The following is a 22,198-nucleotide window of genomic DNA, read 5'->3' as shown; positions in this document are numbered from 1 at the left end:
TTTGGATCTTTTCCTGTACATGTACCAGGGAATTTCCTTTTTCTCATCTTCATTTAGCTGAGTCCAGAAGTCAGTTAGTCAATTTAGATAGTACATTGAAACCAGAGTCATTGGGAAGTGAATTCAAATGGACAGATTCAGGTTTATTCACACATATACTCTTCAATGTAAATTAGCAGAATCTTGCAATTCTTTCTCTTCTTGGGGTTGACTTTATAGTTGGTCTCCTAGGGTGTGACTGAATCTGGTTCAAGTATTAAGAGTGAGAGTAGTCAGAGATGGTGGGAGAGGGGTGGGAGGAGATCGGCTTCCCTTTCCAAGGTAACTGCCTTAAGTGAGTTCCGAAGAGGATCTTCAAACAAAGCAGGAACAGCCTCGTTACATAAGGAAGAGGGCATGCTTCTGCTGCCAAGGGAGTTTGGGGGCTTGAGTGACTAGGAATCATTCAAGTTTTCTTTTATAGTCCTATTCTTATTCCCAGATTCCCACTCTTTCCTGCTGATAATTATAAAATCTTGTGAGGCCGATAATTCAATTGACTTTGTAATTTGGCGATTTGTAGATGAAATTGTGAATTTGGTTTTTCAGTTTTGGCCTTGTGGCTCAATTAACAAGATATTCTTTGAGCTCTGTTGTTTGTAAAAATACAGTTGTTTAAAAGTCATAAGCTGATAATTTAGGACTTAGTGCATCACTACTTTTCTTTCAGTGGTCCAGTTTTAAACTCATCCCTTGAGTTCATTCTTTGAGTTCTTCCTAATCTTCATATTATTATTATTATTGTTGACAATGGCCAGTTGGTTTCCCAGAGCCTTGTCTTCATTGGGTAGTTCAATCCAGGTGACCATACTTGGTAATTTACCTAGCTGTCATGCCAAGTGCTTCCAGAGCCTGTATTTTCATACTAGTTGAATCTCAGCCTTTATTCCTAATCAGGCCAGACAACCAATCTCAGATTCTTCTCATTTCTTCAAAATTCTGTTTCTTACAGTCCCACATTGGGTTATCTTTATTCTGTCTTTTTCACTACTGTCCTTGTTGGTCTTATTTTGCTTCCTTGGAATTTGGGGTAACAATTTTTGGGTATTGATATGACTCTTTTGGAGCCTAACGGTCACTATAATAGGATGGACAAGTGTGTGTGTGGTCTTAAAAGAAAAGCATGGACTGTTTGGCTGGTGACTTTTCTTTGATCTCTGGGCTGTCTGCTCTTTTGGCTAGCAGAGATGATCCAGTTTTCAACTTGGGGCAGGTCCCATCCCTGCCACCTCATATGTGCATATGGGGATTTACAGATTACAGCTGTAAGATGTCCTCCACTGACCCGGTGTCATACCAGCTTCCCAGCCACCTGTGGGATGAACAGGTGTTCTCTCCTTTGAAATGAGAAAAGAAATGGAGAGACTTTTCAAAGATCCCCAGGATTAGCCAGTAGCTGGGCCAAGAATGAAATCCACATCTTCCCATACCCTCAATACTGACCTCTCCATCAGGATCTGCCCTAACATTTGAAGGGCCCAGCTCAAGAGCCTACATGAATGCCCCATACTATCATCTAAATATTCATAAGCAATAGTCAGCTATTGAGTGCTACATAAAACATTCTCTATCCTCCTATCTTGACAAATTGTTGCAATTTGGAATTTCCAGGAGCAGATACTGAGACTGAGTTTGTCCTGTGTGGTATTTATTAGTGATCAACAGGGAGAGGAGGCAGGAGCAGGCAGAGAGAGAAGTCCAAATGCAATGCGGACTCCCCCAAACCTTAGCCAACCCCACTAGGTGTCCTAGAGAATATATGGCCCACCAGACTGTCCAGGGCAGGTAAAATTTGTGTGCCACTCTTCCTCGACCCCCAGGACAGGGCATATCTTTGGATGAGGGGACTCTATGCAGGCACAAACCTTGAAAAAGCTGACAGCTGGTCAACACCTCCTCTTCTAACAAATGTTCCTTCCTAATGACCTGTTCTGCTCCGGCAAGAGCAACAGGGTGAGAGGACTTCCATCTCTCCCAGCTCCTGGACATTCTAGTGCTCACATTCAAGCTCCATACCCCTGACTCAACAGCTGCTCCTGGCCACTCTCGGGCCTACGGTACCTGACACAGTGGCTCTAGCCACCTTGGGGACAACAGAGAGGCAGGATACCTCCTACCTTCAACACCCTGGAGGCGCGTGGGGAATTCCAGAGTCCTCAATACCCAGAGATTGGACTAAAACGGGATGGGGCACATCCGCTTTGCCATTAGACCTCTTAATTCCTGAGCAACCGGGAACTGGAGGAGGTCTGTAAAGCAGGGGAGTAGGATAGGAACCTATCCCTCTTGCTCGGGTCAAAGGTATGCTATCAAAGATCACACTAAGATGTTGGGAGATTTAAAGGAGGATTTGCACATGGAAGGCTCTTTTTTGGAGAAAGAGACTGAGTCCTAGCTAGCATTAAATAAAACAATGGCTTAAACAATCTCCATGAGTACCAGAGATTTTTACTATTAGCGATATTCCTGGTGTAGCCGTGTCAGGGCTGTCACTCTCTCTGTCACTCGCCCTGGGCCCAGCAATCCTTTCCCGAGGCGGAATCCCCCTGGCGGTGTGGGTCAGGATCGCTCTCCGTCCCCTACCCGCGCCAGGTCCCTGGAGCTGAGCAGAGCAGGGCGCTGTCGAGCGCGTTGGGGAGCCGGGGCCGGGACGAGCACAACCGGGAGCCCGAGCGACAGCGGCCAGGGGAGGGAGGAGGCGGTGAGGCTGAGGAAGGCAGTCGGGCCCAGCTTGACGCAGCGGCGGCTGCGACTGAGCAGGCCACCACCAGGGCACCCGGGCCAGCCGCGCCAGCCATCCCTCCGCCTCCTCCTTCAGCTGCTCGGCGCGCGTGGGAGTGAGTGCGTCGCGAGCCCGCCGGGGGTCTCAGGCTCTGGGCGTCCTCGGCGAGCGAGCCCGGGCAGAGGGAGGCGCACGAGCGCGCGCGACAGAAGGAGGCGGGGAAAGGAGGGGGCGAGGCGGAGGCGAGCGAACAGAGGGAGGGACCCGCCCGCCGCGCCCCGGCCGCTGGGCATGTGTGTCCGCAGGCGCCCGACGCTGCCGATGTCCCGGGGCTGAGCCGCGCCCAGGTGTCCCGGACAGTGCGTGCGAGCGTGTGTGTCCGCGCAGGCGAGCACCGCGCCGGCCCTGAGCCTCCCGCTCGCTCCCCACGGCCGCGGTGCATGTTCGCCTCCTGCCACTGTGTGCCGAGAGGCAGGAGGACCATGAAAATGATCCACTTTCGGAGCTCCAGCGTCAAATCGCTCAGCCAGGAGATGAGATGCACCATCCGGCTGCTGGACGACTCGGAGATCTCCTGCCACATCCAGGTGCGCGTGGAACCGGGCGAGGGCGCGGGGCACACGCCGGGAGCAGGGCGGGGGGCCTTTGCGGTGGGCATGCGAGAACAAGGAACCCACTCCCGGAGGGGATTGGGGGACTGCTAGAAAGCCAGATTTCGATTCCTCAGGCCTCTGAGGGTGGGGGGCCTTATCCTGGCATGGAGGGGCATGGTGCCCTGCAAGCGCCAGGCACGCGTTATCCGCGCCCAGTCTCCTTCCCCTCGCGTGCACCCTGCGCGCGCGTCTCACTGCGCCCGGGCTAGGGGCGCGGGGCAGCTGCCTCCGGAGGGACTCTGGCCCCTCTGGGCCCTACTCCGCCAGGAGATGGGAGCTCCGAGGGCTGAGAGGGGCACCTGCATGTCGCCCACTGGTATTTCCTCCCTTCTTCCACGTGGAGAAGGCATGCATCAGCTGGGTTCACTCATTTCTGTCTCCCGCGCCCAGGCTCCGGAGACGCCCTCAGTCCCGGAACCTGCTTTCCGCTCCGTGTCGGTCCCCCTCACCCTCCGCCGGTGGTCTTTAGTTCTCCGCGTGGGGCGGTGGCGAAGTTTCCCCAGAGTGAGAGAGGCCGGGCTGCCCTGGGCGCCAGCCTTGAGGGATGGAGCGCGCGCTGCGCCGGACTGGAGCTACCTCGAAAGGAATGTGTGAAGTCTGAGTGTTTCGGAGAAAGGAAAAGGGATTGTGAGGCCAGCAAGTGGGGAGCCCTGCAGGAACCTGGGTCCTGGGTAAAAGAGCCCCGTGGAATCTTGGTGGACATTCACTGTCGCCCAAGTTGGAGGAGAAGGCGAGTTGTTTGGGAGAAGGCAGCTTTGCTGGCAGCCCTGTCCTCGGGTAGTAAGTGCCTCTGGGCTGTCAGGAGAGCTAGTGTGAGGTGCAAAGGTGTGTGTGTGCATGTGGTTGCGCGTGCGTGTGCATATTTGCTGTGGGTGAATATGTAGGCAGGTGGGAGCCCCTCTTCCAGGACCCCAAAGATGCCCCACTCGGTGCGCACACAATCAGGAAAGGTTGTGTCAGGGCTCAGCACAATTAACTTCTGACTTCTAAATCTATTTAACTGTTTATCTCTGGGATTTCCTTTCTCACCTACCCTAGTCGAGTCTTGAGGCTCTGGGACTGAGCTTTTTTTTTTTTTTTTTTTTTTTAGTGTAATACAGGGCACACCACCCATGTCAGTGGGAGGTGAGTGGGGCAGCATCTCCCAGAGTAGGAATCAGCCTCTAGGCTGTGCAAACCATGAAGGAATGAAAGGACTTTCCCTGTTTTATTTTTATTTAATTTTTGTTAGTGGGAGTGTGTGACATGTTGGGGGCAGTTGCAATTAATTTGTAACCTGACAGCCGGACAAGTGTCAAGGTAGGAATGTGATGCCCCATGATCTCCCAGGAAAGTAGGCTCCCATTGAATTTTCTGGGGGAGCTTGAATTTCATTCTGAGCTAAGCAGCACTGCTAAACTTAATAATAAAAGGATTAGCAGGATAGGCAGTGTTTCTACTGCCACAAGGGTTGCACAGAAGCATCTGGCATGTACTAATAGTCTTGTGATCCAGAGAGTGTGGACTGTGCACTTTGCTTTAAGTCCTAAAGTGGGTGTACAGGTCCTTTAACCCATAATGAATGTGTAGATGATGGAGGGGCCGTCAGGGAGAGAGGCTGTTGAGTTCTCCTCTGTCTCTCAGCCCTCTTCTGCCCTGTACCACTTGGTGTTGACATTTTTTTCCCCTCCCTCAGGATGAAGTCTTCCTTAGAATAATAAATATTCCCCAAAGGACATGTATTTGTTGTCTTGTGTTTTGAGAAACAATAAATTGTAGCCAGTCTAACAACAGTTTGAAAAACTCCAGTGCTTATGACCCAACTAGTGCCAAAGAGGTTAAAATGTTATGTTTCAAAATGTTGGCTTGGGCACTGATTTTTAAAAAATTATGATGTTTCATTTTGTGATTTGTCTTTTTCTGCCCTTTCTGCCCCCAAATTACAATTATTATTTAACCAATTAAAATAAATTAAAATATTTTATTTGGATAACTTTAGACCTCACACTTTCCTAGAGTACTCCAGACCAGGAATTGAAATTGCCCTTCCGGGTATCAGGTAACAAAGACTTCCCATTTGCTTAGAGTGAGAACAAAAGGATTAAAAAACAATGCGAAACAAAACCATTTGGAATTACTGGCACTTGTTCTGGGTGAATCCATCTGTGTTTGCTTCCTTCCTTCTATAGAACTACAAAGTTAAAGGATTGTATATATTGTCACAGAATGTCACCCTCTCTCCATAGCCCACATCTGCCTGTCTGCGTTAGGAGCTCTCATCCCTGGTGTCTGCCTGGCTCTGGAGCAGGGGTGTCCAATTTTCTGGCTTCCCTGGGCCACATTGGAAGAAGAAGAATTGTCTTGGGCCACACATAAAATACACTAACGCTAACGATAGCTGATGAGCTAAAAAAAAAAAAATCACAAAAAGTCTCATAATGTTTTAAGAAAGTTTATGAATTTCTGTTGGGCTGCATCCAAAGCTGTCCTGGGCCATGGGTTGGATGAGCTTGATCTAGAGGCTCTGTAGGAGGAGCAGGAGCTCTTGGACATGTGTTAGTTGTTCACTCCTGTTCACTACAGGAGTGCTGCCTATGGAGCCCCAAAATAAGTAGGGGAAACTCAAGCCACACATCCTTGGGAGCTCATTAGTCTGTGTTCTCTAGTAGGTAAGCATTCCAGATTCAAAGAAAAATGAGCCACTCAAACAGGTTTCTCTAGCAAGGTGCTGGAGAGTGGCCACACATGGTAGATGCAAGAGATGATAGAAACCTTCAGGACTATTGCTTGAGACAATGTGAATAGCTCTAGGTGCCATTTCTTGAGCATCTCTCATGAGCCAGCCTTTTCCACTCATTATGTCTGATCTCTACCACCAACCTTTGAGTAGGTATTATTCCCTTCTTTTGGGTAAGAAAACTGAGAAGCTAATAACTTAAGTGACTTGTTCAAGGCCACATCTCTAAAAAGAGAATGAGCAGCTGGAATTCAAATCCAGAATTGTCTGGATCCAAAGCTTATGTATGTCTTTGACATATTACCCCATAGTTAAAATAGCTGAAGTTTCAATGAAATTTCCAGACATGGAAAGAGGTAAATCCAAGGTAGGGGAATTTAAACCAGTGACTGAAGGCCAGTTGGGATTCATGATCTGAATGGACAAAGCGACCCTATTTGCCAGTTTGCAAACTTAATGTGTCCTGGGTCTTCCAGGGAGGCTGGCATCTCAGAGCTGATTGGAATCCCACAATCCAAATGTCACTGGGGGCCATTTCCACCCCCCAGAAACATGGTATTTGCCTTTAAAGAAACTATATGCATAAATGCCTTGTTAGGTTTGATACACTGTGTCCTTATATTTCAGACAGTAGTAGCCCCAAATTATGCCTATGCATCAAAAGATGAACCAAGCCAGAAACTAAGGGAGAATTGCCTAGTTGTGCTCTGATTAGAGGGTGTGATGGTGAAAGGGCATGTGTTTTGTGCCTCTTCAGTGTGCCTCCCACAAGGGGAGAAGGCAGAGTATTCTCCTTGTTACCTCCCCACCCCCTAGGATCTTTGCATTTGCCACTGCATAGAGGATAGGAAAGAGCTTTTGCAAAATAACAGCTTTTAAATAATCCTTTTCCAAATCATATAATTTTGGTAGTATTTGGCCAACGAAAACTTTCAAACACACAACCTAGTGGTCCAGTCTCAGCAGACTGGTGGTCAGTTCCAATAAGAGATGTGGAAGTCACTGGCTCTGTCTCTTTTCACAGGGTCTGGGATGCTGTCCCATCATATCATTTGCTTGTGAATGTTCAGGTAGGATGGAAGATAGAGGAATTCCAAATAGACAGGGAGTAAAGGGGAGTTTGGGTTACAAGACAGAGGCCTGGGGAAGGGAAGGAGTTACTGAATGCTCCTTATTGGGCTTTTCCAATTGAGCCAACCCCTGAAGTCTGGATTTTGTAGGAGGATGAGGTTTGACTCTAATTCTTCATTCAGCCTTGCTACTTCAATTAGAGTGGAGTCCTAGCCATCTTCTATCTACTTTTTTTTCTTTAGACACCGGCATTGTTATTCACAACCCTTGCTAATGAACTTGCCATTTTTAATACTGACTTTTTTGGGTTACATAGATTTTTGACATTATTCATACTTTGGCAAAGCCTGGTAAACATGGCTGACATAGTTGGAATTGGCTGAAAATTTGTATTTGTATTTGACTAAAAATCTTAGCATAGTGCTTTGCATACAGTAGGAACACAATAAATATCGATGTAGATTGAATAATTTTCTTTCTAGACTGTTAAATTCACAAGAGTAGGAACATTCTGATGTTCACCGCAGAGTCCCTGATATTTAGAATAGTGCCTACTATTCTATATAGTATAATATGTGCACATTAAACATCAGTTGAATGGATGAGTGCTAACCTTCCCAATATTTAGTCTAACTCATTACCTGTCAACATGAAGGTAGCATGCCAGCATTAGATCGGGAATCAGATGTGTGGTTTAGTTATGTTACCAACCAGCTGTGTGATCTTGAGTGAGTCATTTGACATTTGGAGTCAATTTTCTTTTCTTTTGTAAAACAAAAGAATTTGGTTAGATGGATGCTACAGTTTAAAAAGTCTGTGGTTTTATTATTGACTGGATAAATTACATGTGAATGAAGCATTTCTGTTGACAAAGTGGTAGTGTACGTATTATCTCATATGAATTTTATAACTATCCATTATCTCCATTTTATGGATGTTATTGTGTTACTGAGTATTATCTCAATATTGTATTACTAGATATGGAAAATGAGATTCAAAGAGGTTAGCAATTTGGGTAACCAAGCAAATAAGTGGATCAGAACCCAGGTCCTTTGACTCAAAATCCAGAGCTCTTTCATCTCTGGAGCACTGCCTCTTGGGACTGAATGATTAGGCTGCTTTTGGCTGCAAGTAAAAGAGTAGACAAGTTAAAGTGGCCTAAATAATAAGGACACTTATTATCTTAGCTGGCAAAAAGTCCAGAGAGAGGGCAACTTCAGGGCTGTTCCAAAGCTCTGCCTGGACTCAGTTGCTGCTTCCCATCTTTTCACTCTGGCATCTTCAGTGCATTAACTATGTCTCTATAGTCTCCATGATTATGAGGTGGCTGCAGTAATTTTAGATGTCAGTCAGTCACTACCACATCCACTGTCCAAGAAGAGGTATTTCCTCATGCATTGCCTTTTTATCACAGAGGAACACTTTCCCAGAGTCCCCATCAGTTTTCCCATCAGATTCCATTGGCCTGGATTGGATCATATGCCCATGCCCTAGCTGTAAAAGTGTCTAGGAATATATGCATCTGGCATTTTTCCTCTCTATAATGGGAGGTGGCTTTGCCATTATGGAAGGAATGGAATTATGTGTGTGTGTGTGTGTGCATGCACATGTGTGTGGTGGGGAGGAACAGCTGTCGGCTAATCATGCAGGAGCGTCTTTCAGAATACGTCAAATTAGGTTGCAATTATTGTTACAATAAACCTTTCATGAGAGTTTAGTAAGATGTCATCTCAGCCCTGGCTTTTTTTAGGCAATCTTTGTATGATCAAATTCTAGAACAAGGAAAATTATGAGAGAGTCCTTTGTAGTGTGTGTTGTTAAATATCATTTCTGCCCTTATGGAATGGGTGGGTTCTGGGCAGCTAAAAGGCATCTTGTTCAGAGCAGGCACAGCTCTCTATAGCAGACAAACTTTATGCTTGTTCAAGTGGCACAGTGGCATGAAGTGGTTGAGAGCATATGTTCTGGAGCACTGCTTGCTTGGGTTTGAACCCTGGCTCTGCCATTGACTAGCCAGGTGACTTTGGGGAAGTCACTTTTCCTCATTGGGCCTCAGTTTCCTCAGCTATAAAGTGGAAATAATAATAACATAGCCCTCATGGACTTTTTGTAAGGATTAAATAAGGATTATATGTCAAGTGCTTAGCTTAGTACCTGGCACATAGTGAGAGCTGAAAAAATAGTGACTGTTATCTTAATGTTTTGTGAAACTATATTAGAGGTAATCCTAAATAGTGGGAAGGCTTTGACTTAGAATCAAATGACTTTAAGCCTAAACTCCATCACTTTCTGATGGTGCAAGACCTTAAGCCAGTCACTGGGCCTCCTGTTCTTCAACTGAAAAATGAGAGTAATAATTCCTCAACTGCCAGTCTCCACTGTGTTGTTGAGATGGCTTATGTAAAAGCATGTTGTAAATGTTCAAATATCACCCAAATACAGAGTACTATTCTAATCAATTTAGTTGAAGAAAAGGTTAGCTTCTTATCTGTTGAAATGGGAATGATATTATCATGTGCAAACCTATATCTGTGCTAAATATCAGGCCCCATGATGATCCTGCTGGTGAAATCCAAGCTAGGTCCAGCTGGCAGCCACAGTTTTCTGCTAGTAAGGACAATTCAACACTTTTCTCTACCAAGCTCTTCTGGAATGCCATTCAGAGTCTACTGAAAATCAGACACAAAAGGAATAGAGGAGAGAGGCAGTTTGTTAAATACTGTGGCACAGCTCTGACGTTTTTAGACCTATATTATATGGGCCAGCTCTTTATATTAAGTATATCCTAAAAAAATGTAATGTTATTCCAATGGTCTGCTAAGATCTTATCTCTTGATATTTTCAAAGCAAAGGCAAAGTGTATTGACTTCAGGGAGAATACAATAATATTAGCTGCACATTGACGGTGTATCAGCTAGAATTCTTTTAACTACATGCAACAAATTCTAATTCAAACTGGCTTTAACATTAAGGACATTTACTGACTCATATATTCAGAAGTCTTGAATTATATATTTAATTCAAGGACTGTGGCTCTGTTTCTCTGGGGTTCCTTTGCCTCTTCTTGCCATTTGGGATGGCTCTATCCTCAGACTGGTAGTGAAATAGTTATAGTAGTGCCAGTTCTCACATTTTCATAGGATACCCTCCAGAGGAAGAGAGAAGCCACTTCCAATTCAGCATCCCAAACAGAAGTGTGCAGTCATTCTGATGGGACCTCCCAGGTCACATGCTTACCCCTGAAGCAGTGACCCTGACCAGGGGAAGATAATGTGCTGATTAGCTTAAGGTGCAGAGCTTGACCCTGGGACTCAGGGTGGGATCAACTTCCCCTGTGGTGATGTTCTGCCTGGGGAAGAGCAAATACCTAAAATCAGATAGGAGGAAGGGGGAAATGGCTCCTAAAAAGATAACCCACAATACCTACTGTAGATGCTTTGTCTAGGGTAGGTGGTTCTCAAAGTGTTGTCTGGGGAATCCTGGAAGTCCCTGTGATCATTTCATGGAGTCCATGCTATTAAAAAAAAACTATTTTCAAAATAATACTAAGATATTGTTTGCCTTTTTGGATAACAGTTTTATTGAGATGTAGTTCACATTCCTTGTAGTACGCCCACTTAAGGTATACAATTTTTAATATATTCAGAGAGTAGTGCAGTCATCACCACAATTAATTTTAGAATATTTTCATCATCCCCAAAATGAACCTTTGCCCTTTAGCAGTCATACCTCCATTTCCCTCCAGACCTCCCAGTCCTAGGCAACCACTAATCTACTTCCTGTCTGTATAGATTTGTCTATTCTGGACATTTGATAAAAATGGAATCATAAAATATGTGAACTTTTGTGTCTGGCTTCTTTCACTTAGCACAATGTTTTCAAGGTTTATCCATATTGTAGCATGGGTCAGTACCTCCTTCCTTTTTCTTGTTGAATAGTAGTCCAGTCCATTGCATAGATATATCACATTTTGTTGATCCATTCATTAGTTGAACATTTGGGTTGATGGACATTTTGGCTATTATGAATAATGTTGCTATGAACATTCCTGAAAAAGTTGCTCTCTAGACATGTTTCATTTCTCTTGGGTGTATACCTAGAAGTGAAATTACTAGTCATATGGTAACTCTGTGTTTAATCTTTTGAATAACTGTCAAACAGTTTTTCAAAGTGGCTGCACCATTTTACATTCCCACCAGCAGTGTAGCAGGGTTTCAATTTCTTCACATCCTCTCCAATACTTGTTATTATCTATCTGTTTGATTATAACCATCCTAAGTGGGTGTGGAGTGGGATCTCATTGTGGTTTTGATTTGCATTTCTCTGGTGGCTAAAGTTGAGCATCTTTTCATGTGTCTATTAGCCATTTGTATATCTTCTTCAGACAGCTGCCCATTTAGATCCTTTGCCCATTTTAAAATTGGGTTGTCTTTTATTATTAAGTTGTAAGAGTTCTTCATATATTCTGGACACAAACCCTTTATATAATAAGTGATTTGCAAATATTTTTTCCCATTCTGTGGGATATCTTTTACTTTCTTGATGGGGTCAAAAAAGCTTTTAATTTTGATAAAGTCCAATTTATATATAATTTTTGTTGCTTGTATTTGTGATGTCATAGCTAAGAACTATTGCCCAATTCAAGGTAATAAGGACTTATGCCTATGTTTTCATTAAACAGTTTTATAGTTTTAGCTCTTACATTTAGGACTTTGATCCATTTTTAAAATTGATACATAGTTTGCATACCATAAAATTCATCATTTTAAAGTGCACAATTCAGCTGATTTTCATATATTCATAAGACTTTGCAACTACAATCACTCCCTAATTCCAGAACATTTTCATCACCCCAGAATAAATCTGTATCTATTAACAGCTACTCCCATATTTGATCCATTTTGTGTCAATTTTTGTGTATGGTGTGAGGTAGGGGTCTAACTTTATCCTTTTGCATGTGGATATCCAGTTGTCCCAGCACCATTTGTTGAAAAAAGCAACTCTTTTCCCTGTTGAATTGTCTTGTCACTCTGATGAGGTGTTGTTTACCTTTTCCACTTTCAGTCTTTCAGAAGTGTACAGTGGAATTTTCTAGAGGCTACAAGATGTGTGATATTGCAACAGATTGAATGAAGAAGCATATGTGAGAATACACCTCTTTGTTGAGTCAGACATTAAAGATATTTGCAAAACAATGCTGCTTTTATCACTACTTTATTTTGTACAATATAGCTATTTTTAAACAAAAATATGTTTTTTACATTAATGTACAGTGGGTTTATTGTTATTTTTAAATGAATCAATAATCGAATATTTTAAATAATTCTGTCTATATATAATATAAACAAAGGTTTTACAGATACTCAGTAGGTAAAGGAGTTTTGAGGCCAACATGCTGAAGAATTGCTGGGTGCAGTGGCTCATGCCTGTAATCCCAGCACTTTGGGAGGCCGAAGTGAGCAGATTGCATGAGCCCAGGAGCTTGAGACCAGCCTGGGCAACATGGTGAAACCCTGTGTTTACAAAAAAATACAAAAATTAGCTGGGCTTGGTGCGTGCCTGTAGTCCCAGCTACTTGGGAGGCTGAGGTGGGAGGATTGCTTAAGCTAGGGAGATGGAGGCTGCAGTGAGCTGTGACTGTGCCACTGCACTCCAGCCTGGGTGACAGTGAGGCCCTGTCTCAAAAAAAAAAATTGCTGGTTTAGGTGACTGTCCATTTACTGAACTTCCTGAAAAATTAAAAAAAACAAACCCAAACCTAAATAAAACAAAATAGAACTTATATGCTTCTTCTTTGCCTCCAAGATCATAAGTTACAAGTGCCCCAAGTGATGTCAATTAAATAAAAAACACTGCATGTTCACAGAAAATATGTATGTTATATTTGGAATTCTTAGTAGTAACTATGCACGTGTGTGTGTGTGTGTGTGTGTGTCTGCGTTTATATTCAAAATATTAAGAGTAGAAGGACAAGGCTAGGCTCTAGTGTAATAAGCATTTTCTAATTTCACTTGCTCTCTAACTGAATCCTAACTTTTTAAACTCTAATAATTGCATAAAGCTGTGTCTTGTTTTGAGACCCTTCTTTTGATCATGGAAAATATACAGCTAAACATGAAGTGTTTAAACTGTAAACCATTTGAATCAGGCCCATTAGTCACTTGAATTATTAAGTTGTTACTTCTTTTTCTGAGTAGGCATTTTGGGAAAACAGAAAAATGTTGCAGGAATGGAAATATCAGAATTTATCGCATAAGAATCTGAGATTCACATGGCATAAGTGTTATGCATTGGGAGGATAACATGGCCCTCTTTTAGTTCTCACTCTGTGATGGAGAATTTCAAGTTGCTCTTCTCATGAAGTAGCAGAGAGCCAGATGCGGAGTCCAGAGGCAGGAAAAATAATAGGACTAGGGTCAGGAGCCAGTTGGGCAGATTTTGCAGCTGAGGTTTGAACTTGACTCAGGCTCAGAAGAGTTAAGTTCAGCATTGAGCCCTGGGAGAAGTGTGTAAGTGCTTCTCGGTTGGATGTTTCTGTGGATTTTCTGTGCTCTTGTTCAAATGCAGACTCGGATTCAGGAAGTCTTGGGAAGGGCCCTGAAATTTGACATTCTTAGCACGCTTCCAGGTGGTGCTTGTGTGGCTGGTCTGTGGACCACATCTGGAATAGTCAGACATCAGTGGAATTTACCTTTCTCCTAATAATATTGTTAAGTTCCTCGAGTGGAGGAGTCTGTTCCTTTTGTTCCTCCCTCGATTGTGCCTCACTGGGCGCATTTCTTTGAGTAGATGTTCAATGAGTGTGGGTAAGTGAGTGAATAAATAAAGAAATCCATCCTGGTGTGTCTATCACAGGTATAATGAAGTGCTGATTAGACACTGTTGCTGGGTATGGAATGATTCTGTTTGACTATTTGTTCCAACCAAATCGAGAGATTGTTTTTTCAAACAGGATTTCCCATGGCAAATCTGATGAAGTGTTGCATGTCCATGAGAGCACACAGGACTAGGCTTAGTGACTGCCTTCTCGTCCCTCTGGGCCAGGCTTCCCAGTCTTGCTTTCCTGTACCCTGGACTCCTGGTGGTATTTCTGAAAAGCTCTGGCAATATCTCGGCACAAACAAGTCATTGTGTATAAGCCAGCAGTGCCTGGAAGCCCCTGGAGGCATAGGGGCCCCAGCTGTTCTTACTTGCAGAAGTGACTCTGAGGGACAATGACCCTGGAGGGCCATGCAAAATGCATTCCAGTTGTAACTTAAGCTCTGGAGCTGAGCTGTTTGCTTTGTTGATTCTCCCCGAAGGTGCAGGATGGAAAGGAGGGGACCACTTTAGCAAAAAGAAAAAAAAAAAAAAAGAAGCTTATTCTAAAAAGGAAGAGCATTTGTTTTGATCAAGAAGTTAGGTTTTCAAAAGTAAATTAAAGTTTGTTTGAAACATCATCAATCTTATTCAATAAACATTTGTTAAATATCTCCTATATTCCTAGCACAGAGCTGGAAGTAGAGATACAAAAGAAAATAAAATCAGCCGTCATCAAGGAGCTCGCAGTCAGTTGGGGGAAGATAGAAAAGATAGTGATGCGAGGATGAAATGATGGATGTAGAGACAGGTAAATGCAGGTGGAGGACTAAGAGGAGGCACCAAGTGCAGGCTGGGGCATCAGTAAGTATCTCTGTTACAGATGAATCTTGATTAATAATTAAAGGACAAGTGGAAGTAAACTCTTTCAGAAGGAGAAAAAGGGCATTACAAGTAAAGTGATCTCTTGCTTGCTTGGTGTAAAACCCTAGGCATGAAACAGGATGACTGAATCTGGGAGTTAAGGAAAGGAGAATCTGGGATGAGTTCCACATGGTTAGTTTCAATGACTGGGTAATGGCGATGCCATTCCAGGAGAGACAGTCCTGGTCACATAACTTGTGTGGTCCTGTGCAAAATGAAAATGCAGAGCTCCTTGTTAAAAAATTATTAAGAATTTCAAAGTGATGATAGCAGACCATTACGCCAAGTACAGGGTCCTTTTAGGCACGGGTCCCTAAGCAAATGTGCAAGTCACACACCTGTGAAGCTGACACTGAGGAGATAGACTAGAGGAGAAGCAGGTTGGGGGAACAGAGAATGAGTTCCATTTTGGGTACGTTGATTTTGAAGTGCCTGTAGGGCGTCTGAGTGGAGAATTCTCAATAGACAGTTGGATATAAGGAATGAAAGTTACCAGAGACACAGGTCTGACATAGAGACAGAAGTAAGGGAGTTGTTAATGTTCTTGCAAGTGGTGGCAGAAACCATGTGGTATGAATAAAACTTCCATGACAGGTCTTCCTTTTTTGTCTGTATTTCTGGTTGGGGCAGGCTTGTAGATCACTGAATTGTGAGCTCTGGAATTCTTTCCAATAGTACTTGATCGTTTTTCCTTTGTTAGGCAACTCTCACCTGAACCAGAGCTGGTCTCTATTTTCTTCTACAAATGGGGCAGCCACACCAGGGTTGTCAGTGGAAAAGCACTTTTCTGTCCTTAATCTTCATGTCCTAGCTTGGACTTGCAAATGAAAAAGACCTCTTTCAGTTTTCAAGTTCTGAGTGTCAAAGCATACGATTTTCTTTCTAGGGAAGTTGCCCTTTGAGACAGTGTCAGGAGCATTAAGTAGATAATACATTTTAAAATCCTATCAACATGCTACAAAATTAAACATGTTATATGAGGAGCAGCTTTGCAAGTTATGCTGCAATAATTTATCTTTATTTAGTATTTATTTATATCTCAGATACCTCTTGTGGCAAATTTTGTTTTGTATATAGTTTTCAGGGGGTTATTGTGAAAATTAAAATAATTCAAGTTCTACAAAATTGCTCAAACAACAATAATCTAATATTAATAATGCAATGACCTGAATCTTAAATGTACAATAGAGTTTTATCTGAATATATCTATGTTTTATGCTAACGTTTGAAATATGATTATTCTGTAGCAGGGGAAAGCAATTAACGTGTTAACAGATCAGGGTATGGCTTATAATCTCTCACCTCAGAAGTATAATTTGTTGCTTTAAAACTCTAGTCCGTGATGCTAAACGTTAATCTGGAAAGTCAAGATTAACCAAACCAAGGTCTTTACACGTAAACTGAGAATTCAAACACAATATTATTTACTAATGAATATAATGATAAAAATCAAGCAGTCTTTAAAAAATCAGTAACTAATTAGCCTTATTAATAGAAGAGAGGACAAACACCTAATTAACTAGTTGGCTAATAATTCTTCCTTGATGTTTCTAGCTAATGTTATTTTTTGGCCGGTCGATACACATATTACTGTCCATTGTTCTGAAAATAATAATGCTAGTCTTTGTCATCTGTACCTTGTGTAGGTATTGTCTACAATGTTATGATAAGTGGAGTATTTATTGGTTCTTTGTTTAGCAGCAAGCTTTCTATATACTTATAGTCCTCTTGATATCCTCGAGTATAATAATGATAATATGTATTAATTGATTAAATTGAGGTTGATTTAAACAGAGATGTTATAGGATTGGTCCAATGTCTCATATTTAGCAAGATTAGGATGGGGTATTGTGTCTTGTATTTTAGGTTTGCTCTTATTACACTAAATACCACCATTATTTTGTTTTTGAATGTTCTCAGTAGTCTAAATGATATAATTTCTTTCCACTGACAACTTTTTTAATAGCTCAAGAGAAAAGCCATACACAGATCACACCTCTGGGTAGAAAAAGCACATTGATGTCTTGGAACTGTCATCCAAGGACACAGTCTAAATTCTTTCCATGTCTACTTTCTTTTTGTAACCTGTGGCTGAATGTACATCCAAATAAAATTGCAATCAACTTACCATGGTTATATGAGTATTTTGTCATCTAACATAAGTAGACAATTGAAAACTACCTCCCCTTTCCTTTTACATGTTTGGCATGGTACAAATATTGCTTGTAGTTTGAAATTTCAAATTAGCTCCCCAGAAGTTGTAAAAAGAGAAAAAGGAAGGGTAATGCTAATGAAATTTTCTATCTGCCCTTTAATGTAATTTACCTTGTAGTTTTGAGATTGACTCTGAAAGTCAAAATCTAGCAATGCAGAGCATGGTATTTAGAGGACTTTTAGAAAAATAGGAAAACAATGTATTACTATTATTTTTGCTTAGGCACTAGCCACTGCCATGTCAGGCTCTCTCTGTTTTGAAGGCTTAGGCAGAAGAGTAATAAACTCTGTGGAGTAGGGATGGAAAATACACTTCAGGTTATTTTATGCCACCTGGAACCTTATCAAGGATATCTTCACCTCCTGTGTTCCCAAACCTCAGGGGAGAAGTATTTCTGCTGAGGGTCATCCTGACACAAGGGGGCACCTTGAGTGACACCTTTTGCCTCCAAGTTTGAAGACATAGTTTTTCCACCATGTATAGATGGCACTTTCTTGGTTCAGTGCTGATTAAAAGGAAAAAAAAGAGGAAAAGTTATACAGTAATTCAAAGGCAGCTGTGAAGCCTGAGTTTGCAGTGCCAGCAGCAGTGTGGTAATTTGAGAATAGTAAGTTAGACAGACAAAGCAGATTTTAATCATATGCCACAGAGAGGAAGGTGGTTTAGGTTTATCTCCAAATTGTACCTCCATAGAGAAAGGGAAGCTTTTAATGCGATTATTCAACATATATTGTTAAAGATTACTTTTTTCCTTTCCCCAACCTTTCTTTAGTGTGTTTACTGGGTTAGAAATGGCAGCCTTTTTTTCTCTCTTAGTGTATTGAGCAGTTGTTAAATATAAAATATAAAACATTTTCTTGGTGTTATGGGAAATGCAGAGAGAGATAGAGAGGGAGAGATTGTGAGATTCTAGTCTGAAGACAGAGCTGAAGACTTAAGAAAATATTTTCATCCATCTATCTATCTATCTATTCATCCATCTAACTATCCATTAATTCATTCATCATTTATCCACTCTTCCACTCACCCACCAACCCACCCATCCACTCATCCACTCTTCCATCCACTCATCCGTAAATCTATCCATCCGTCCGTCCGTCCATCCATCCATCCATCCATCCATCCATCCATCCATCCATCCTCCATCCATTCACCAAACAAACATTTATTGAATACCTCTGTTGGGGACTGCTGTGAGTAGCAGAGATACAAAAAGACAAATAATAATTAATCCTTGCCAATCTAGTAGAAAAGACAGACAGACACATAAACAGATTCAGCATAGCACTATTGTGATAGAAAAATACTAGGATGTTATTGGAGCTCATAAAGGGGCCAATAGTAGAGCCAGAGTGTGGCTTGGGGGAAGGCATAACCTTTCTTTAACCTCTAGTGGCTCTCCTCCAATGTTACTACTTTAAAAAATATATCGGGCTGGGCGCGGTGGCTCACGCCTGTAATCCCAGCGCTTTGGGAGGCCGAGGCGGGCAGATTAAGAGGTCAGGAGATCGAGATCATCCTGGCTAGCACCGTGAAACCCCGTCTCTACTAAAAATACAAAAAATTAGCCGGGCGGGGTGGCGGGCGCCTGTAGTCCCAGCTACTCGGGAGGCTGAGGCAGGAGAATGGTGTGAACCTGGGAGGCGGAGCTTGCAGTGAGCCGAGATCGCTACACTGCACTCCAGCCTAGGCGACAGAACAAGACTCCATCTCAAAAAAAAAAAAAAATTATATATATATATATAAAATTTGTGGTTTATTTCTTTCTCCTTATTTATTTTTATTGCAGTAAAAAATGTATGTAACAGAATTTACCATGTTAGCCATTAAAAAAAATCTTTTTCTTTTGCAGTGCCTGTGCCTCGCACAGCTCTGGGACAGGCACAGCTCCCTGCCCCCCCAGCCGCTGAAGGCTTCTCTACGCCCCTGTTCTGGCCTCCGCGAGCAGAGGAGCTTGAGGCGGGCAAAGCTTAAGGCGACACCATGTTAGCCATTTTTAAGTGTGCAGTTTAGTGGCATTAAGTAAATCACATTGTTGTGCAACCGTAATCACCTTCCAAAGTTACTACTTATAAAAGAGATATTCTTTGAAATGGATTACTGATATTTTGTCACTCACATTTCAAGTGTGAATAAGAGAATCTTTAAAAGCTTTGTTCTTTTTCTTGCAAATGTCTCAGCCAAAATTGTATCTTGCTATAAAATGTGATTTCAAGAGACGTCCCACACCCCCTTCCTTGGTTCCTACTAGACGTTCACCCTCAGCGTGTCTCCTGTATAGATATGCTGGAGCAGCCACTGAGGGGCCCTAATCCAGCCTGGGAAGGGCCAAGAAGATTTTCTGGAGTAGATGATACCTGAGATGAGCTATAAGGAAAATGTAGACATTGTCTGGCTAATAAATGGGGAAATGTGTTGAGAAAAGGTGCAGTTAGGGAAAGAAGGACATTCTAGCAAAGGTTGAGCATAGAGGAAGACATAACATTTATGAGGAACTGAAAGAAATGCATTATACTTTTCTAAATCAAGAAAGAGTTCCTTACTGTGCAGTGGGAAGTTGGCATTACCTGCTCAGACTGTGCAGACAGTGGAGTGGGGGTCAGAGTCTGGAAAACAATGATGACCACTGTTTATTAGGGAATAATTAAGACAACTCCTCCATTGAGTCATGGTTTGTGACTAGCTTGGCTCACACTTGGGCAAGATTCGTTGGGTGTTTTGTTTCAGACTTTGAATGCCTCAGTGCTTTTTGAAAAGCCCCACCCTGAGGCAAATTGGCGTTTGCCAGTTCTTTTTTTCTGGAGAGGTGGTGACAGGGTCTCATTTTTTCACCCAGGCTAGAGGGCAGTGGCGCCATCATAGCTCACTGCGGCCTTGAATTCCTGGGCTCAAGTGATCCTCCTGCTCCAGCCTCATGAGTAGTTGGGACTACAAGTGGTGCCACTATGCCAGGCTAATTTTCTTTTTAACTTTTATTTGTAGAGAAGGGGTTTTGCTATGTTGCCCAGGCTGAGTTTGCCAGTTCTTTAGTTAAGGTTTTAAATTTCTGTGTGCTGTTGGGATGGTGATAGTTTCACAACTTGTGACCTTCAGTGATGAAGCAAGTCTTTCTTAATATAGGCCAGGAAATTAGGAGACCTTTTCCTTTTTTTTTTGAGATGGAGTCTTGTGCTTGTCACCCAGACTAGAGTGCAGTGGTGTGATCTCGGCTCACTGCAACCTCCATCTCCCAGGTTCAAGTGATTCTCCTGCCTCAGCCTCCTGAGTAGCTGGGATTACAGGTGCCAACAACCATGCCTGGCTTTTTTTTTTTTTTTTTTTTTTGTATTTTTAGTAGACACAGGGTTTCACCATGTTGGCCAGGCTGGTCTCAAACTCCTGATCTCAGGTGGTCCACCCACCTCAGCTTCCCAAAGTCTTGGGATTACAGGCGTGAGCCACTGTGCCAGCCGGAGACCTTTTCAAAGCAACTTACCCCATTAAGCTGTTAGAGTAGTCATGAGCCCAGCTAGAGAGGGTCTGATGTAAGCAATTGCAGAAATTCCAGGAAATAAGTATCGAACAGTATTGAAAAGCCTCCTTATGCATAGTAGACCAGTGCTGTCTGGTAGAACTTTTGCAGTGGTAACACTGTTCTGTATCTGTGCTGTCCAGTTTGGTAGCCACTAGCCTCAGATGGCTATCGAGCCCTTGCAATGTGACTGGTATGACTGAGGAACTGAATTTTCATAGCTATTTAATTTCAACTCATTAAAATTTGTTTACATAGTTACACATGCTAGTGGCTACCACACTGGACAGTGCAGCAATAGTCTCTTAATGGTAGCTAACTCTGGAAGCAGAGAGGAATTGAGTAAAGATGGGAGCAATGCAGGGAAGCTTTGCATTACATACATCTGTGTCATCTGAGCCTTTGGTAAGCATGTGTTACTTTCATAATTTCAAAACTATAAGAAATTTTTCAGCAAATACATATGCCTTTATTTTCAGAGAGAACTTAGAAAGTTGGAAGGGATTTTAGAGTTTTAATCCAATGCCTGCATGTTTCTCAGGGAGCATCTGAAGTCCAGGGGGGGAAGGAATTAGCCTGGTGAGTGACACACAGATTGGGACCCAGGCATCTGGACCCCATTTTCATATTTCCTTTTTTAAATTATACTTTAAGTTCTGGGATACATGTGCAGAACGTGCAGGTTTGTTACATAGGTATACATGTGCCATGGTGGTTTGCTGCACCCATCAACTCGTCATCTACATTAGGTATTTCTCCTAATGCTATCCTTCCCCTTTTCCCCCATCCCCCAACAGGCCCCAGTGTGTGATGTTCCCCTCCCTGTGCCCATATGTTCTCATTGTTCAACTCCCACTTATGAGTGAGAACATGCAGTGTTTGGTTTTCTGTTCGTGTGTTAATTTGCTAAGAATTACGGTTTCCAGCTTCATCCATGTCCCTGAAAAGGACATGAACTCATTCTTTTTTATGGCTGCATAGTATTCCATCGTGTATAAGTGCCACATTTTCTTTATCAAGTCTAACATTGATGGGTATTTGGGTTGGTTCCAAGTCTTTGCTATTGTGAATAGTGCTACAATAAACATATGTGTGCATGTGTCTTTATAGTAGAATGATTTATAATCCTTTGGGTATATACCCAGTAATGGGATTGCTGGGTCAAATTATATATTCTAGTTCTAGATCCTTGAGGAATCATCACACTGTCTTCCACAATGGTTGAACTAATTTACACTCACACCAACAGTGCAAAAGCGTTCCTATTTCTCCACATCCTCTCCAGCATATGTTGTTTCATGACTTTTTAATAATCACCATTCTAACTGGCATGAGATGGTATCTCATTGTGGTTTTGATTTGCATTTCTCTAATGACCAGTGATGATGAGCTTTTTTTCATGTGTTTGGCGGCCGCATAAATGTCTTCTTTTGAGAAGTGTCTGTTCATATCCCTTGCCCACTTTTTGATGGGGTTGTTTGTTTTTTTCTTGTTATTTGTTTAAGTTCCTTGTAGATTCTGGATATTAGCCCTTTGTCAGATGGATAGA

General features: G+C 42.5%; 1 protein-coding gene across 5 annotated transcripts in view, besides 1 other annotated feature; it reads left to right on the top strand.

The window, feature by feature from the left end:
* Positions 1-22,198, top strand: part of FRMD3 (FERM domain containing 3) — a 342,803-nt gene that overhangs the window by 44,362 nt on the left and 276,243 nt on the right. For 2 of the 5 annotated variants that reach the window (NM_001244959.2, NM_174938.6), the window contains exon 1: positions 3,032-3,348. The exons of the other annotated variants lie outside the window; for them this stretch is intronic. In NM_001244959.2, the coding sequence (NP_001231888.1) occupies positions 3,202-3,348 (147 nt within the window). In that variant the 5' untranslated portion in view covers positions 3,032-3,201. Of the gene's footprint in view, positions 1-3,031; positions 3,349-22,198 lie in introns of those variants that run through there. 5 annotated transcript variants of the gene reach the window in all.
* Positions 4,785-5,079: a silencer, noted in NCBI's record as "tiled region #3056; K562 Repressive non-DNase unmatched - State 24:Quies". NCBI's record gives its function as "represses a minimal TATA promoter and a strong SV40 promoter by Sharpr-MPRA in K562 cells {active_cell/tissue: K562}" and the evidence as "EXISTENCE:reporter gene assay evidence [ECO:0000049][PMID:27701403]".

Source organism: Homo sapiens, chromosome 9, assembly GCF_000001405.40.
Source record: "Homo sapiens chromosome 9, GRCh38.p14 Primary Assembly".
In the NCBI taxonomy this organism is placed as follows: Eukaryota; Metazoa; Chordata; class Mammalia; order Primates; family Hominidae; genus Homo; species Homo sapiens.
Note: the sequence above shows the minus strand (reverse complement) of the source record. Positions and strands in the feature narration are given on the sequence as shown.